The sequence below is a fragment of the Homo sapiens genome, chromosome 5 (genome assembly GCF_000001405.40).
Source record: "Homo sapiens chromosome 5, GRCh38.p14 Primary Assembly".
NCBI lineage: Eukaryota > Metazoa > Chordata > Mammalia > Primates > Hominidae > Homo > Homo sapiens.
In genome coordinates this window covers 31,513,470-31,532,148 of record NC_000005.10, presented here as the reverse complement: position 1 = coordinate 31,532,148, position 18,679 = coordinate 31,513,470, and the positions used below count along the sequence as shown (strand labels likewise).

The 18,679-nt window shown below is 40.6% G+C and overlaps 1 protein-coding gene across 3 annotated transcripts in view, besides 1 other annotated feature; it reads left to right on the top strand.

The window, feature by feature from the left end:
* Positions 56 to 18,679, top strand: part of DROSHA (drosha ribonuclease III) — a 131,600-nt gene continuing 112,976 nt past the window's right edge. Inside the window, exons 1-8 of one of the 3 annotated variants that reach the window (NM_001382508.1) lie at positions 56 to 159; positions 624 to 699; positions 1,225 to 1,351; positions 3,044 to 3,109; positions 5,237 to 6,070; positions 10,934 to 11,026; positions 16,585 to 16,695; positions 16,930 to 17,161. In NM_001382508.1, coding sequence (NP_001369437.1) covers positions 3,090 to 3,109; positions 5,237 to 6,070; positions 10,934 to 11,026; positions 16,585 to 16,695; positions 16,930 to 17,161 — 1,290 coding nt within the window. In that variant the 5' untranslated portion in view covers positions 56 to 159; positions 624 to 699; positions 1,225 to 1,351; positions 3,044 to 3,089. The remainder of the gene's footprint in view (positions 160 to 623; positions 700 to 1,224; positions 1,352 to 3,043; positions 3,110 to 5,236; positions 6,071 to 10,933; positions 11,027 to 16,584; positions 16,696 to 16,929; positions 17,162 to 18,679) is intronic. The other 2 variants (NM_013235.5, NM_001100412.2) reach the window with 2 other exon arrangements.
* Positions 9,802 to 9,971: an enhancer, noted in NCBI's record as "experimental_84483 CRE fragment used in MPRA reporter constructs". NCBI's record gives its function as "activates a minimal promoter by MPRAs in K562 erythroleukemia cells, with activity observed for both the introgressed and non-introgressed 5:31522370 variant alleles {active_cell/tissue: K562}" and the evidence as "EXISTENCE:reporter gene assay evidence [ECO:0000049][PMID:34662402]".

Here is an 18,679-nt window from a genome sequence, read left to right as displayed (position 1 = left end):
GAAGAGTTTTCCCTCCCTTGGCCCAGCTTTCTCAGGTTTGCTTTTTAATTCCCTCGGTTTCCTGTTCCGGAGGCGCGGGCGGTGCCACTGTCTTGGTACCTGCGGTAGTAGCCTGGCTTTGCTCTGACGGCGATCTCGCGGCCCGAGAGCCTTTTATAGGTAAAAGGGGTACCTTGCAAGTGTTAGAAGAGAGTTTCCGAGTGTCAGGATTTAAACGGGGCTGGAGTCTCCGGGGCTGGGGTGAAAAGCGTCCGGGAATTGGGGTCGGGCAGCCCCACTTCAGATCTGCAGCTAAGGGCAAAAGAGCGACGCTAGGCCTGGATCCCGCAAATAAGTGGAAGTGAAAAAGGAGACCTTTCATTCATTTGTGGAGCACACACTATGGTCCAGGCCTGGGGCCGCCCGGCTCTCGGAGGGGAGTGAGATCCTGAGCTCAGCGCCTGCCTCGTGGGGCGTACCGTCTGGCGGGAGATGCAAACAGTAAATGTGCAGTTATGGATCAGGATGAAGGTGACTGCCCTGCAGATCCACCTGGGGAAAGAGGGAGTTCTCAATAAAAATGTAGTCACACTTTAAAATTCTTTTTACATGCACTGACGTTCTGGCCGTGTTAACTATTCAAGACAGCTCCTTCAGTGTCTCTGTTTCCAAACCGCAACCGAGAAGAGACAGACGGAGAAAAGAGAGTTACTTTTCCAGGTGCAGTGAATTCCTTGACTTTTGAATTAAAGTCTGCATCCACAACACAGCCGGACTATGCCTTCAATAGGTCAATTTCATGATTAGTATTTTTAGATTTTCTAACTACTGAAACATCCATGAGGATCTGGCAGTGAATGTTCAGCTCTTGTTACACACTGTACAAGAGTGTTCGTGACCCTGACTTTTGCCCACCTCTAGGTGCGGCACACACCTTTGTGTTCCCCTAAGCCCTGCACATACCTCTTTTTTGTGTGTTTATTGCATTATTTTGTATTTTTAAAACACTTACTTGTACGTGGGTTCTGAGTTCCTTGAATCCTACAGGCTGTGTGTCTTATTATCTCTGAGTCTACAGGGCCTGGGACAGTGCTTCCCATTTATGGGCTCATTAAATATTGCATGACTCAGTGAAAAGGCCTGCTTTCTGTTGCGGAGGTACATGGAAGGGAAATGTACAGTAGCAACATGGAAACATACTATTGGTGAGAGAGTAAACATTTATTGACCACCTACTGTGTGTAGGTTGCTTTTCCCGGGGATGTGAAGGATACAGAAATGACTGTGAATCAACCCATATCATCAAGGAGCTGATAATCTAGTGGAAGAGTTAGACGTGTGCATACTTCACTATGATATGAGGCAGTCTCTGGTAAGTGCTGTAAAAGGATTAAGTATAGACTAAGTCTAGAGGGAATGGGATTACCTAAGGGAATCAGGAAGGGCTTCATAGAGGAGGTGGCATTTAAGATTGATAGATGGATAGAAAATCACTGGGCAGATTCATACGTTGGGAGATTTTTTTTTTTTTTTTTTTTTGAGCTAGAGTTTCGCTCTTGTTGCCCAGGCTGGAGTGCAATGGCGCGATCTGAACTCACTGCAACCTCTGCCTAGGGTGGGAGATTTTAGAGAGGAGAACGGGAGCAAAGAACTAGCTGGTTCTTTGTACTCGAATGGTAATCTGTTGGGAAAACATGGGGTAGTAGGGTCTTTCTGGGGAAGGTACTGGAGAACAAGCCTGGGTCCAGAGTCAATAGAGCCTTAAATGCCAAGCACAGAGGTTGAACTTGATTCTGTTGGCAGTGAGTAGCCTATGGTGGCAGGAGCACCTGTCCGGGCCCCAGGTTTATCATGAGGGTACTGGACTGGATAATAGTAATAAGGAGTCAGGCGCAGTGACTCACGCCTGTAGTTCCAGCTATTTTGGAGGCTGAGGTGAGAGGATTGCTTGAGCCCAGGAGTAAGAGACAGCAGTGAGCTATGATTGCACCACTGCACTCCAGCTTAGGGACAGAGTAGACTTTGTGTCTTAAAAAAAAAATCAGATATTATTTGGTGCCTATTATTTATTAAGCACACTGACTGCTAGCATAATCTGAAATTATTTTCATGAGCCATTTGAAAGTCTACATAGTAAAGTTCTATTGATGAGACTTTTAGAAAGACTTTCAGAAAATGTTTCTATGTTACAGCTTTTTGTACTCAATATTTATGTGAGTTTTTAAAAAATGTTTTGCTGAAGTTCAAGTATTTGGAAAATCATTCATGTTTACAGTGTTTTTATGTGGGAGGAACTGAGAATGAAAATTAAGAATCATTAACTGGTGTGTTAACAAGATTCTGGTTATGTTTGAATTTGAATGCTGGTCTCACTGTGATTTTTGTGTTTGGTCTATGCCTACATGGTTTGTTTTTTTTTTTGTTTTTTTTTTTTTGTTTGTTTTTTTGAGACTGTCGCCCAGGCTGGAATGCAGTGGCGCCATCTCGGCTCACTGCAAGCTCTGCCTCCCAGGTTCATGTCATTCTCCTGCCTCAGCCTCCCGAGTAGCTGGGACTACAGGCGCCCACCACCACGCCCGGCTAAGTTTTTGTATTTTTAGTAGAGACAGGATTTCACTGTGTTAGCCAGGATGGTCTCCACCTCCTGCCCTCGTGATCCACCTGCCTCGACCTCCCAAAGTGCTGGGATTACAGGCGTGAACTACCATGCCCGGCCTATGCCTACCTGTTTTTACCATGAAGGAAACGAGAGTATGAAGGGGGAGAGGGGAAATGATATTTTTCCCAAGTCTTTTAACAAATTAGAGATGATCTATGCCTATAAGTCTTTTTAGCTGCTGATAGTTTTGAGTTGGCAAAACTAGTAATAATGACATTTTAAAATTTAAGGACATTAAAAATTTAGTTGGAAACTTTAACACAGTTCAACATGCTTTTAATTTTGTTTGTAGGCTAAGTGTATTGGAAACTACAAAATTAGTGTTATGGTAATTGCAGAAATATTTTGTAGCATTGGCAGTTTGGGAAACATGTTTATGTCTGTTTTATTCTTTCTGTTTTTTAGAGCTTATATTCTCTGTGGAAGATGTGACATATCCAGGCGGAACATCATGATGCAGGGAAACACATGGTGAGTGCCGTGATGGGAATGGCAATAGTTTGGGAGAACCGAGAGAGGAGCAGACATTGGTGCTGGGCTATAGAGGGTGGAAAGGATTTAGATACATGGGGAGAGGGGATAATGTGCTCATTCTTTCAACAGTGGGCACAATACAATAGAGGGCCATGCCCAGGGCTGGGAAGCCAGACCAGAACAGTTAATAGAAATCCCAGAGCGCTGCCCTGACAGCGCTTGCAGTTCCGAGGTGCAGGCAGACATTAAAGGTGGAATTAGGTCCTTAGAAGGTGGATTGTAATTATTGTAGGACCTGCTAAGAAGCAGCACAGAGTGTTGTGAGAGCAAGGAACCTAACAAAGCCCTAGGGTCAGTGACAGTGGTTGTAGAAAGGCCAGCAAGGATATTATTATAATAGCCATGTAAGAGGTGATGATGTGAAGTAGATGAATTCAGGAAATATTTATGAAGCAGAAACAATTGGATTTTTTGTTTATTTTTTATTAAGGGATAGTTGCCATATAAGTGACAGCAATTTTAAAGTAAATTTTTAGCTAAGGATGGGGGGTGAGGGAGGACAAGTCAGATGATTCCCTGTTACATGTCTTAAGGACTATTAATGGTGTCATTTATTGAGATAGGAAATACTAGGAAAAGAGCAAATGTTTGTCTTGGAGGGCAAGGTCATTAATTCCTTTTAGCATATGTTATGTTGAATTTGTTGGTCCAGGTCAGTGAGACACTCAAGGAGAGAGATGGGGTTGGTAATTGGCAGTGTGGGTCTGGAGCTCAGAAGTTGTGGGCTAAAGGTGTAACTTGGGAGTTTCTGACAGATTGATGTCAATTGAAGCAGTGCAGGTGAGTAGCATCACTTTGGAAGAGAGAGTGAGCAGAGTGCCTGGGCTAGACCCCTGAGGAATACCAGACGGTTAAAGGCCCCCTAGCAGAGAAGAAGCTGGTATGGGAGACTGCCAGGAGGAACAGCCAGAGAAGTAGGAAGGCCACAGTGAAGGCATCATGTCAGGAAGCCAAGAAACGCATCCATGGGGGTGGGGGCTGGGGAGGCAACTGGACTGATTGCTGCACAGAGATCAAGCAAGGTGATTGAAAATGACCTTTGGTTTTCAAGACAAGGTGGGCACTGATCATGTCACTTATTGGAGAGGTGGTGGAAGCTGAAGTCGGATTAGAGTGAGTTAGAAGTATATACACTTTTGTCTTAGCTTGGGCTGCCATGACTAAATGCTATAGACTGGGTAACTTAAACAGTAAACATTTATTTCTCACAGTTCTGGAGGCTGGCAGTCTGAGATCAGGGTACCAGCACAGCCAGGTTTCTGATGCATGCCCTCCTCCTGCCTTGCAGGTGGCTGCCTTCTTGTTGTAGTCTCACCTGGTAAGGGGTGGGTGGCAGGGATTTCTTTTCTCTTTCTCTCTTCATAAGGGTACTAATCCCATCATAATTACCTCTCAGAGTCCCCACTTCCATATAGCATCACATCAGCGTTATGATTTCATCAGCAGGAATTTTGGGATGGACACAAACATTCGGTCTGTAGCAACGTTTTCAGGTCATTTGACTGTAAAGGGGAGGACAAAGAAGGGGCAAAGTCAAGGGAGACCTGGAGGCCAAGGAAAGTACTTTATGTTGGAATAGACCTGAGCACTTTCAAATGCTGATGTGAAGGGTCTGGTATCAGGGAGAGGTGGAGGATTGCAGAGGGGGGGTGGTAATCCCAAATCTGCATTTGGAGATGGGAGTGGGGGCTGGGGAGGCAAGCCCCCTTGATCTTGTGAGGTCAAGATCAGAGGGGAACTTGAGCAAAGGCATGACAGCAAATGGTGAACAATGGGATGTTGAATTGGTCATTTTGGAAGTGGAGCAGCTTTAAGGAATGGTCGGTCCAGGGACTAAACATGGCAGTGGGCTGGGTGGCCAAGAAAGGGGAAGAGGAGTTTATTGAGCATGAGGGTTTCAGATGTTAGCAGGAACCCAGTATTAAATGGGTGGCCTATTCCAGTGGCTTGACTAGGGGGTCTTTGAGTTGCTCATCAAGATGGTCAGGCATTTATGAAACCCTGTTTACATAGTAAGAATTATTTTTTAAAAAAACTTTTCCCTTTTTCTTTTCTGCCATGAAGTCACAGAATGTCGTTCCACCCGGGACGAGGGTGTCCCCGAGGACGAGGAGGACATGGAGCCAGACCCTCAGCACCATCCTTTAGGCCCCAAAATCTGAGGCTGCTTCACCCTCAGCAGCCTCCTGTGCAATATCAATATGAACCTCCAAGTGCCCCTTCCACCACTTTCTCAAACTCTCCAGCCCCCAATTTTCTCCCTCCACGACCAGACTTTGTACCCTTCCCCCCACCCATGCCTCCGTCAGCGCAAGGCCCTCTTCCCCCCTGCCCAATCAGGCCGCCTTTCCCCAACCACCAGATGAGGCACCCCTTCCCAGTTCCTCCTTGTTTTCCTCCCATGCCACCACCAATGCCTTGTCCTAATAACCCCCCAGTCCCTGGGGCACCTCCTGGACAAGGCACTTTCCCCTTCATGATGCCCCCTCCCTCCATGCCTCATCCCCCGCCCCCTCCAGTCATGCCGCAGCAGGTTAATTATCAGTACCCTCCGGGCTATTCTCACCACAACTTCCCACCTCCCAGTTTTAATAGTTTCCAGAACAACCCTAGTTCTTTCCTGCCCAGTGCTAATAACAGCAGTAGTCCTCATTTCAGACATCTCCCTCCATACCCACTCCCAAAGGCTCCCAGTGAGAGAAGGTCCCCAGAAAGGCTGAAACACTATGATGACCACAGGCACCGAGATCACAGTCATGGGCGAGGTGAGAGGCATCGGTCCCTGGATCGGCGGGAGCGAGGCCGCAGTCCCGACAGGAGAAGACAAGACAGCCGGTACAGATCTGATTATGACCGAGGGAGAACACCATCTCGCCACCGCAGCTACGAACGGAGCAGGTAAACCGCTTGTGTGTAGTTCTTTAATGAACTGCAGAGGCCCAGGCACGGTCATTCTCCATTTATGACAACCAAACCAAAAGGATCCAGTAGGGCATCTTGATTTATGTAAGGAAAGGAAGCACATTTTGGACTCTGTTTTCAAGAGGAAGAAACAACTGACAAATAAGTTGATGTCAGAAAAAAATTGCTTTTAAAAAGCATTCCAAATATATCAGTGTAGATTCATTTCAGTGAATATAAGACTTTTACTCTGCATAATACAGTTGACATTTTAATGATGATCCCATGAGATGAAAGATCTTGTATTTTTTGTGTTATCATAGATTAAATTATGTTCAATGTGATCATCATATCAGGTTATAGCATTTGAGTTTTTTTGGAACTGGCGATCTGCGTGTTAATAAAGAATCAAATTAGTTAACAGGAAGGACTTTCTGAGTTTTAGGATAAGTAGAAATTTATTGTACATTGTTGCCTTCTTGGTTGGTTTCTTTGTAAAACGAAGTAAGATTATTTACACATTATGAAAGTTAGTTTTCAAAATATCTTTTTTTTTTTTTTTTTTTTTTTTTGTGACAGAATCTCGCTATGTTGCCCAGGCAGGAGTGCAATGGCGAGATCTCAGCTCACTGCAACCTCCACCTCCTGGGTTCAAGCAATTCTCTCACCTCAGCCTCCCAAGTAGCTGGGATTACAGGTGCACGTGACCACACTCGGCTAATTTTTTTTTTTTTTTTTTTTTTTTTGAGATGAAGTCTTGCTTTGTTGCCTAGGCTGGAGTGCAGTGGCGCAGTCTCGGCTCACTACAACCTCTGCCTCTGGGTTCAAGTGATTCTCCTGCCTCAGCCTCCTGAGTAGCTGGGATTACAGGCGTGCACCACCACGCCCAGCTACTTTTTGTATTTTTAGTAGAGACGGGGTTTTGCCATGTTAGGCAGGCTAGTCTCGAACTCCTGACCTCAGGTGATCAGCCCCCCTCGGCCTCCCAAAGTGCTGGGATTACAGGTGTGAGCCACTGCGCCTGGCCTAATTTTTGTATTTTTAGTAGAGACGGGGTTTTACCATGTTGGCCAGGCTGGTCTTGACCTCCTGAACTCAAGTGATCCACTCACCTCGGCCTCCTTAAGTGTTGGGATTACAGATGTGAGCCACCATGCCTGGCCTAAAATTGCTTTTAATCTGATTTTGTTGCATTGAAATGGATTCTTACTGAAGAAAGTTGTATTTTAAAAATACTGTTTCATTCTATATTACATTTCTTTTTTCAAAAGATCAAATAGGTATAAATATGAGAGAAATAATGTTTCAAGGAGGCATTTCTAAAACTGGGATTCTAGCTGGGCTTACAGAAATACTCTGAAGTTATATGCAACTTTTTTGTGTGTGTGTTTTTCTAGAAGGAAACTTACATCAGGTTCTCAAAGAAGGAGGGTGTGAGTCTGTTATCCCAAAAGCCTGAGAACCATTGGTTTATATGGAAAAATAAAAGACACATATCAATTGTGCTAATGTTTATTTATGCCTCAGTGAACCCTTACACTGATGAAGATTTGAGATCTTCTGTTGTCAAGCTAATTACGGTGCTTCTCTTTCTTTCCCCAGTAGTGTACTTACCTTCGTTGTCTTGTGGAACTTTTGTGCTAAAAGTGTTTGAGCTCCCCAGACCAAGTCACTTCACTCTGGGTTTGCAGAGAGCTGGTCTTGGTTCTTGTTGCTCTGCAGCTGATTTAGGAACCAGTTCACATCTGTTTCCACATTTTTCTCATGGCTCTATCAATTTGGTTCTGACTGAACATTTTGCCAGTAAATTAAATGATAGTGGTCATTCTCTGCACTGAAGAGAGGGATTAGTGCTCAGAAGGTTCAGAAGGAAAATGCTTTGTTGCCTCTCCCTGGTGGCCTGGTAGAAGATAGAAGGGAATGTGTTACTTGTAGGGATGACTCATTTCTGGTGGGCCAAAGCTGAGTGAGAGTTGGTAGACTTTAAAAATCTTTTCAGCATGAACTACTGTTTCTGGTCAATATTCTGTGATGGACTAGTTGGCAAAGGCATAGGCATGTGATAGTTTTTTTTTTGTTGTTTTTTTTTTTTTTTTTTTGGAGACAAAGTTTTGCTTTTGTTCCCCAGGCTGGAGTGTGATGGCGCGATCTCGGCTCACTGCAACCTCTGCCTCCCGGGTTCAAGCGATTCTCCTGTCTCAGCCTCCTGAGTAGCTGGGATTACAGGCACCTGCCACCAAGCCCGGCTAATTTTTGTATTTTTAGTAGAGATGGGGTTTCACCATGTTGGTCAGGCTGGTCTCGAACTCCTGACCTCAGGTGATCTGCCTGCCTCAGCCTCCTAAAGTGCTGGGATTACATGTGTGAGCCACCGCTCCTGGCTGGCATGTGATAGTTAATGTTACAGTTTTATAGTGCAAATGTTAACTGGAAAGAGTAAATAGTTTGTAAATAGTTTTCTTCAGACTCTAAAGTAATTGTTAATAATTTTGCTTCTGGGAAAACATTTTGCAGCAAACATTCTAGATAGTGTTGTATTTCCGCCTCTGTTTTGATATGCTATAATTAGAGGAGTTGTCAGGGCTCTGCTGTAAATCCTAAATTTTTCCATCAAGGCTTCAACTTGGAGTTATGTATTTGTTTGAAGAAACTCAGATGTCCTGTGAATTGCGGATCTCAGTAAAATCAAGTGTCGTAAGAATTACTTCTAACCTGATTTATCCTAAACCACACTCCTTTACTATGAGGATCTATATCTTTCTAAAACGGGCTTTATTTATATTCGAGTTGTTTTATAATGTGCTTGGGGCATTTGCTCTGGAGCTGCCTAGTGGCATAGCTACATTATAATTGGCTCCCTTTGGGATATTAATTAGGTGGAATGTCAGTCATCTGTCTTATATGGCATGCTTCTGTGAAACAAACATGGAGCACATGAAGTCCTAATATAACTTCTAGAAGTATATTTGGAAAACTGAAACTTCATAAATTTGCATTGTGTTAAGTTTATGCAAATTCTATAGTCTGTTTTCTTGTTGCCCCTCCCCTGCTTCTTGGGGTAAGTGAATCTATCCTTTTACAAATTCTGTGTTCCCTATTTTTCTCTGCCTCCAAAATGTGGTTGAATAACAATTGCAAGATTGTCTTAGGGTGGACTGTTTTTAGAAAAGGTCTGTGAAAAAGTGGATATATGTATTTGTTGTCATGAAAAATGAAAGTTACTCCAGGGATAAGGAAAGAAATTGCTACAGGCAGATGTAGTGCACCAAGCACACTGTTGAGCAGAGTGGTAAGGATGTGTGCCCTGGGCTTCACCTAGCTAGGGAGTGCTACCACGCAAGAATTCTCATGGCTGACCTTGTGACAGTAAATGTGTAGCTACTGGAGAACTACCCTAATGTACCTAAGGAATATCTTAATGTTTGCAAACAAGGAAGAATCTTGGGAAAAGTAACACAAACATAGCTTTTCTTGCTTTAAAAGAATTTGTCTTAATAGTGTTACTAATGTGATTTATATCCAAATTGGTCTTTTCAAGTCCTACCCACTCAGAGGTACCAGTCATCATTAGAAGTGTTATTCTTAAATGCAAAATTCTATTGGCTATATGGTAAAAAAAAATATATTAGAAATATCCTCTAATTAGAGTTTTTATTTGGAAATGTACGCAATTATTTTTTTCAACAGCCGTGCCATTACAAATTACATATATCTTTGACATGTGGCATGGTTCACTAATTTCTATACAATAACTAAGATTTACTGCCCAAATGTAAACTCTGATTTTAGAAGTGTATGAGATGAAGAATGTAGAATCCAAATCTCTGGCTGCTTTATTTGGGATAGCTGGTATATATCTGAGGATTGTATATATATCAGAAACATTATTCAAAGGAGTCTTCCTTTAGAACAGGGGAATCTTTAAGTGGAAAGCAATTTCTATTTTAATACCTAAGCACTCACCGATCTCTGTCAGTTTTGTAAGTTCTATTTTCAATGTATTGACATTTCTGTTTGGTGATAGGTTGGGGGATATTTTTGAGTTCAAACATTTTAATGGTCTTCTTTCTGGACTCAGGTTAATATAGCATTTTATTTTTCCTGTTCTAAGATTGGAAGGTTACTTCCTTTAGACTTGTAGTTCTGATTCAGACACACTAGAGTTCAGATTTCTCTTCTAGGTCCTCATTGTTAAATAGGCTCAAAAGCTATTAATATTATTAAACCCCAGTTTTACATTGGAAGGTTTTAAAAATTCCTCATCTATTTTTTTTTACATTAAGTAAGCCCAACATCTCTATTTAGTTTTTTTTCCAGATGAAAAATAGCATTCAAGTGACTTAGTCATGGCCTCATGGCAGGTTAGTGATAGCTAGATCTACAACTCAAGCCTATAAGCCATAAGCATTAAGAGCTCTTTCATTATAGAACCTTGTCCTAATTTTCACTATAAAAGCTTTATAATTTACATTTATTTGATAGGTAAAATAGAGCATTTTTTAGAAATCAATAGGATGTGGAGTTCTTTAGAGTTTTCCCTCTAGGTTAAATAACCAAGGATTGGCTGATTGCAAGGTTTTAAGGGAAGATTAGGATAAAATTCCCATTATTGCGTAGCATCATGTATGACTTCTTTCTTTAAAGAAAACTGCAAAAATTCTCCAAGTTAGTTAACTTCTGTAAAGTGAAAAGCTCCTTTATCCTCTAATAAATTAAGAAGGCATAAAAATGTCCCCCAGTGAACAGTGCCTGAAAAATTCCTAGATGTGGTCCATTTATTTACAAGATGAATTCAGTGAAAAGAGATGGTGTTTTTGAGTCTTTCTGTTGAAAACAGCTCTGTGTATTAATTCCTTTAAGAGAGCGAGAACGGGAGAGACACAGGCATCGAGACAACCGAAGATCACCATCTCTGGAAAGGTCCTACAAAAAAGAGTATAAGAGATCTGGAAGGTAAGCAAGGAGTTGACACTGAAAGAAGTCATAGGATTATCTCCTTGAATTCAGATTTTGTGCTTGTATGGAGCAACAGCCAAGTCTTCATAATGGCCTCAGAGTCTGTCCAAGATGACCTGTGAAAAGCTAAAGCAGACTGTAATTTAAAAGACTTTACTTTCAAGATGCATTGATTATGCACAAGGAAAATCTTGATAAATTTCCAAAAATTAGAAATTATACAGACCACTTTTTCTGACCACAGTGCTATAAAACTATACATTAATCATTTTAAAAAACCTTGGAAATTCATAATTATGCTCTTAAATTTACATGTTTCAGAAAAAAAGAGCAAAACTGCAGTCATATTTTCATTAGAAAATGACATTGAGATTGCTATCACCCAAAACTTAAAGGGTGTAATCAATTCTATATCCCGAAGTAAAATTTTGTGGTCTTACATTAATATGATGGTAATGAAGAACAGCACTCTAGAATCTGACAGATTCGGGGTCAGTTATTAGCTCTCCCAATTTTATTACTGGGCAAAGTTATCAGTGTCTTCGTTTGTAAAATAAGGACAGTTATATGTACCTTCTTGAGTGATAAGGGGTCATTGAGATAATGCATGTCAAACACTTAGAACTGGGCCTGAAGTAAGTGCCAAATAAATGGTAACTATGTATATAATTATTATCTGAGCACTTGGCTATAGAAATTGGTGGAGCTTAAGAAAAGCAGAAAAAGGGATTTAAAGATAAATTAATGAAATGGAAATAGAACTACAGTGATATAACTATATTGTAAGTAAATGCAAATACAATTTTTAAAGTGGGAAATAAAAGAAAAATCTACATAACATTAGGTTTGAGAAAGTGTATTGTTACAGGAATGAAAAGAAATTAAAAAATTTAAAACCGTTTAAAAAATTAACTTGAATGTGATGGGTTGATTTCTAAGAAAACAAAAATAATTTCACACAAGAAGCAGAAAACTTTAATAGGTCAATAACTCGAAAAATGGAAAAAGCTTACTTTGCACCACCTCTAAAAAAAGCTTTAAAGTGGTCTTGAACACTAAAAAAAGATGGAAGGAAAGCTCAGCTCATTCTGTAGTAGCAGGAAAAACCAGATGGCAAAACCTAACCAAGGGAAAAAAAATGACACAAAAACGACACAGCAATCTCTCTTACAAATATGGATATAAAAACACGAATTAGGATATTAGCAAATGTTTTCAGTAGTTTGTTAAAATAACAGATAGAGTTTATTCCAAGACTGCATGGATAGAAAAGTTAATATTAGAAAATCTGTATTGTATGTGTCAAAATCTGTAGGGTTATCTCAGTACTTACCTTTTAGGTATTTAAACTAAAATCAGCATCCATATGTGAGTAAAAACTAGTAAACTAGAAATATTAACAGTTGTCTTTAACATGATGAAGAATGGTAGCTCACGATGAACCTGATGGATACCATCCCCAAAGAGTCAAATGTGGTGTTGAAACCTGCAGGCCTTTCCCATACAAATTTGAAAAAAGGCAAGGAGGCCCCATTGCTTATCGTTGTTACTGAATATCCTTGTGATACAATCAACATGGTAATTAAAAACATGGTGTTTTTGTGTGTCCCGGGTATTGTACTGGTATGGGTGATATAGGCATTAACAAAGGCCCCCACTTAATAGGAAAAGGAAAGTTAAGTGCTGTAAGTGCGTTTGATAGGACACTTACATGTTGCTCTGGATTAGATGAGATTAATTAGGAAGGATGAAATGCCATGGGTTAGATGGGATTAATTAGGAAAGATGACAAGAGGGCCTGAGGAGGAGGAGAGGAGACAGGAGAAAAGCCAGAGTATTGTGTCAGTGGACATCATTGAGGACCTATTTGAGGTGGATGATTTTTAATGTATAAGTGCTGGAAATAGCCTCGGTTTAATGGTTTCTTCTCTAATGCCTGGTAGCTTGCAGAGAAGGTAGACTTGAATTCTGTAAGTTCTGACTAACGCAGCAGAAAATAAAAATTAGAAATGGAAATACTGTGAGGGGGAAAATTTACCAGTTTGCACTGTGGCATATTGGTAAGAAGAAACATTGGGAGTTTGGATTTTGAATTTTGGAGTGCCTGAGACACTTACCTAAAAAAGATCTTTTGTTTCTGTGTTGAAATGCCCTTCTCAAAGTGTTAAAAAAAATATTAACTGATGTTCACAACAACTGACCCTGACCATTCATTACATCATTCACAACGCCTGCTTAAAAGGATGGGTGAGGATGTCTTTTGCCTGTGTTTCTTGGCAATAAAACATTTGGTGGAATTTCTTTTTAGAACATGATGAAATGTCTGTATCAACCATATTAGCATTTAACTACCACTTTTAGCTTTATCGTATTAGGCAAGTGACTGATTTTCAAAGCTGTTGCCTCCTTTGTAGGGGATGTTAATATCTGCCTCCTAGGCTTGCTGTCAGGATTAAATGTGAAATGTCAGTAAAGTGCTTAGCAGGGTGCCAGCCTCAGAGTAAGCACCAAAACAAACCAAAAAGAGTCCCTAGGAGCTAAGAGTTGCCGTTATTACCTGACAGTATTTTAACAGCCTTTTAAGTAAAAAGGACTACCTGGTTAGAAAATGTAATGCAAAGACAAATTAAAATTCACTATGGAAAGTTATTAACAAATAATTTAAGCATCTTGTAATGCATAGGACCAATGGGAAGAAAACTATAAAATGTAGCTGATGACAAAGAAGGTGATGTAATAAAAGGAAGGTATGTCCTTTTCCCGTAGTGGATGACCATGTCGTAAAAATACCAGTTTTCTTCACAATATAGTCACGTACCACATGGCATTTCAGTGACAGACTGTATACAATGTTGGTCCCAAAGATTATAATACCTTATTTTTTTACTGGACCTTTTCTATGTTCAAATATGTCTAGTTACATAAATATTTACCACTGTGTTACAGTTGCCCACAGCATTCAGTGCAGTCACATGTTGTACAGGTTTGTAGCCTAGTAGCAACAGGCTATACCGCCTGTCCGAGGTGTGTAGTAGGCTATACCATCTAAGTTTGTGTAGGCACACTGTGATGTTTGTACAGTGATGAAATCACCTAAGGACTCATTTCTTAGACTATATCTCTGTTGTTGTTAGTGACATATGACTGTAATCTATAATTTTAACGTAACTTCAGTTAAAGTACTTTTTCTTTTTTTTTTAGTTATTAAAAATGTAAAAAGAGATGGGGATCTCGCTATGTTGCCCAGGTTCGTCTTTGAACGACTGGCCTCAAGTGATCCTCCTACCCCGGCCTCCCAAAGTGCTAGGATTACAGGCATGAGCCACCATACCTGACCCTAAGTACTGGCTTTAGGACTTCATAATGACTCTTTAATTTTTCCTTGGGATAGAAGTTAGGATAATGAAGAAAAATAGTAATGCAAGGATACTTACTCTGGAAGTATTAAAGGTTCTGGAAATATATAATAATTTTAAAAATTTGATATAGGTTAAATAGATCATTGAAACAACTACAGAGCAACATTCAAGAATATGTATTACGTACATCTAATAAATATGTAAAGTTACATGTGATAAAGAATATGTTTTTTTCAAATCAGAGGAGAAACTGGCAATTGGTGAGCCATTTGGAGGAAAAATTGAGATTAGATTTCTGCCTTACACCTTGGAGAGAGAGAATTAAAAATTGTGTTAAAAGTAACTGATGAAAATATAAAATCTTTTTTTAACCTTGGGATAGGAAATGGCTTCCAAGCATACTAAGGCAGGAAGCATAAAAAGATCTCTAGATTTGACTTTATAAAAGTTGTATGTAGCAGCAAACAGATTTCAAAGCAAGAAACTGGAAACGGTTACAATGCATATGACAGAGGGAGGACAGTTATCTTAATGAAAACTGTTTCAACCAATTAAAGACTCTAATCATAATTTTAAAAAATTTGCATAGCCTGTGACCAGAATGTTCACAAAAGACTTAAGCATGAAACATATTCATTTCAATATTGATAAAATACTTCAAATTAAATTATATGAAAATACTGTTTCATCAGAATGGCAAAGATTAAAAATAACCATAGTGACAGGATGTGTGGAAATGGGAACTCTTATGTGGTTTTGATGGTAGTCTAAACGAGTACTGCCTAACTAGAGAGAAGCCTTAAAAAGTATGCATTTGGGAAAGAATCTGACAAGTGTGCAAAGAACACAAATGTGTTCATGATAGCATTGTTTATGGTGGAAGAGAAGTAAATGTTAACCTAAATGACTATTATTAGTTTTGTTAAATTATGGTATATACATATAAAAGAATAATAATGTACCTATTAAAAATGCTCCAAATATATAATTATTGAAATAGGTGTTCCTGATTTACTACTGAATGAGAAGGTCAGGCTATAACATTAAAACATTTATGAAATATAGTGATTTTCTCTGAGTGGTGTTATGTGTGGTTTTTATGTTTGTGCTTTATTTTTTCTACAGCGAACATACATTGACAGTAATTTTTCTGGTAACAAAACTAATGATGCGTATTGTAATGTCTGGAAGTTATATAAATAATATGTATAATCTTTCTAATCCTCCCAAAGTATACATACCTACACACATATATATACATACAGACTTTCCCTGTTAGAAAATTACAAGTTAGTGGTAGAGTTAATGAGAATACTTATTACTTTGATCTGGATGTAAACTTACATGGATAGTAGTAACTTTGTTAGTGGAGCTGTGAAGGCTACCAGGTGATCTTACAAAGCAGTTTTTCTACTTAGCTGGATTCTCAAGGTCTCTGTGTTCTACCTAAATTTCTTGGGCTTAAATTAAAATCTACCCTGTAGGTTTTGTTGTTATTGTTGTTTTGAGACAGCATTTTGCTCTGTTGCCCAGGCTGGAGTGCGTGGTGCAATCATAGCTCACTGCAGCCTCAGCCTTCCAGGCTCACGTGATCCTCCCACCTCAGCCTCCTGAGTAGCTGGGACTACAGGTGTGCACCAACATGCCTGGCTAATTTTTGTATTTCTTGTAGAGACAGGGTTTCACCATGTTACCCAGGCTGGTCTGGAACCCCTGGGCTTAAGTGATCCTCCCGCCTCGGCCTTCCAAAGTGCTGGGATTACAGATGTGAGCCACCACGCCCAGCTGACCCTATAGGTTTTTCCCTCCAAGTACATCCATAGGATGGGTCTTTGCAGATTTCAAGCCCCAGGAAGTCAGGGAGATGGAGTTGTTTTTTCATCTTTCTTTATTGACTGAGTTAATATTAATATCTGTGAGGACCAACATTAGGCAAAGTGTTGGTTCACCAAGTAGTAATGCCCAAGACTGGGGTTCCAGAGACAGTTAGGGATGACATAAGTGGTTCACTCTCGGATTATAATTATAGTCCTCAGGCCAAATTTATGGCCATATTGAGACCCTGTTTTGTGAAGTCTTAAAATCTTTTTTTCCTGGCAAAGACAGATGTGGAGGATTCAAAACTGGTATTCTCATTGCTGAAATTGTCCATATGTGGACATTTCCAAACATTTTGCAAATATCTTTTTCTTTTAGGAGTTACGGTTTATCGGTTGTTCCTGAACCTGCTGGATGCACACCAGAATTACCTGGGGAGATTATTAAAAATACAGATTCTTGGGCCCCACCCCTGGAGATTGTGAATCAGTAAGTAGATCTGGGGTGGGGCCTGGGAATTTGTATTTTTAAACAAGTAAACTTCAGGTGATTCTGATGCCACCAGACTGGTATTTGGGAGTCACTGGTTTAACAAAAGTACACACGGTGATTTGGCATGGTATTCATATTTTAGGTGAAAAATGCACCAAATAGGTGAAATAGAATAGTTTTTACAGTGGAAGAGTATTTTTAATAATTAACCTCCTTTGCCCTCTTTTGAAGTCGCTCCCCAAGTAGGGAGAAGAAGAGAGCTCGTTGGGAGGAAGAAAAAGACCGTTGGAGTGACAACCAGAGTTCTGGCAAAGACAAGAACTATACCTCAATCAAGGAAAAAGAGCCCGAGGAGACCATGCCTGACAAGAATGAGGAGGAAGAAGAAGAACTTCTTAAGCCTGTGTGGATTCGATGCACTCATTCAGAAAACTACTACTCCAGTGACCCCATGGATCAGGTGGTAGGTCTGAAGTAGCAGACAAGCTGTAGACTAGGGCTTCTCGGCGTTGTCACTATTGGCCTTTGGGGCTGGATAAATTCTTGATTGTGGGGACTGCCCTATGCATTGTAGGATGTTTAGCGGCATCTCTGGGCTCTACCTGTTAGATGCCAGTAGTACCCCTCCCCAGTTGTGGTTACCGAAAATGTCTTCAAATATTGCCAAATGTCCCCTGGGGGGAAAAGATCACCCCCAGTTGAGAATCACTGTTACAGACAAAAGCCGTTTTAAAAAGCTAAAAGCCAAGAGTGCAGTAGGTTAATTAAAATATCTTTTTATAATGCATTTTTATTTATTTATTTTTGAGACAGGGTCTCGCTCTGTCACCCAGGCTGGAGTGCAGTGGCACCATCGTGGCTCACTGCAGCCTTGATCTTCCAGGCTCAAGTGATTCTCCCACTTCAGCCTCCTGAGTAGCTGGAACTACGGGGCACGTGCCACCATGACTGGCTAATTTTTTTTTATTTTTTAGTAGAGATGAGGTCATACTATGTTGCCCACTCTGGTCTCGAACTCCTGAGCTCAAGCAATCCTCCTGCCTTGGCCTCCCAAAGTGCTGGGATTACAGGTGTGAGCCACTGTGCCCAGCCTATTCTACATTTTTAATGATACTGGTAGTCTCAGTACTGGTGGTTTCATAAGCTTTCACATGTAACTAGTTTATGCAGTTTGTAGTGTGTATGTGTATGTGTGTGTGTGTGTGTGTGTGTGTGTGTGTGTTTTCTCCAAAATGAAAAATAAGGAAGAATTTGAGTTTGTCTCTTCGAAGTGTATCCTTGACCAAAAGAGCACCAACCCTACGAAGTTGCCCATGCATATTGGCTAGTTTTGCAGAAAGGGAGAGCCATTGTCACCCTTAATGGGCTGGAGGGAGGACTCCTAGAGCACATGCTGCCAGGGCCGGGGCGCCTGTGGTGCTACAGCCGGCGTGCTCATTGCCATGACAGACTCCACCACTATTTCTACATGCTCACTTCTCTTTTCTTTCTTCCATCTCCATTTTATTTTCTGTCACTGTCACCTTTTTGCTCTCTCTTCCCCTCTTCCCCCTAGGCGTTATGCCTCCATCCTGTTAGGCATATTTGCCACAGAGTAGGCATGTTGTAATGTTCATTGATTAAATGAATGAGTGGACATCTCATTCATTTAATTAATGAACTCGTGCAGATTTCGGGCATGAAAAGTTGCAGATGTTAGATTTAGTGTATGGGATTAGATAAGAGATAAGAGAGAGTTGTGTTATTTGGAATTTTGTGAAAATAGCTTCTATTTGGACTCGTATCTGTGGGGAGCTTGAAAGGAGATTTCTGTGTTTTTGGAAACAAAGGATTTGAGAAGTCTCTCATAGTGGTGTGATATTTTATTTGATAAATTAGAGCAGGCTTTTAAGTCATAGTTGATGTGGTACAGGGAAGGGAAAGCTCACATACTGTGCACTTTACGGTGCCTGAATGTTATTCCATGCTTCTCATGTTGTCT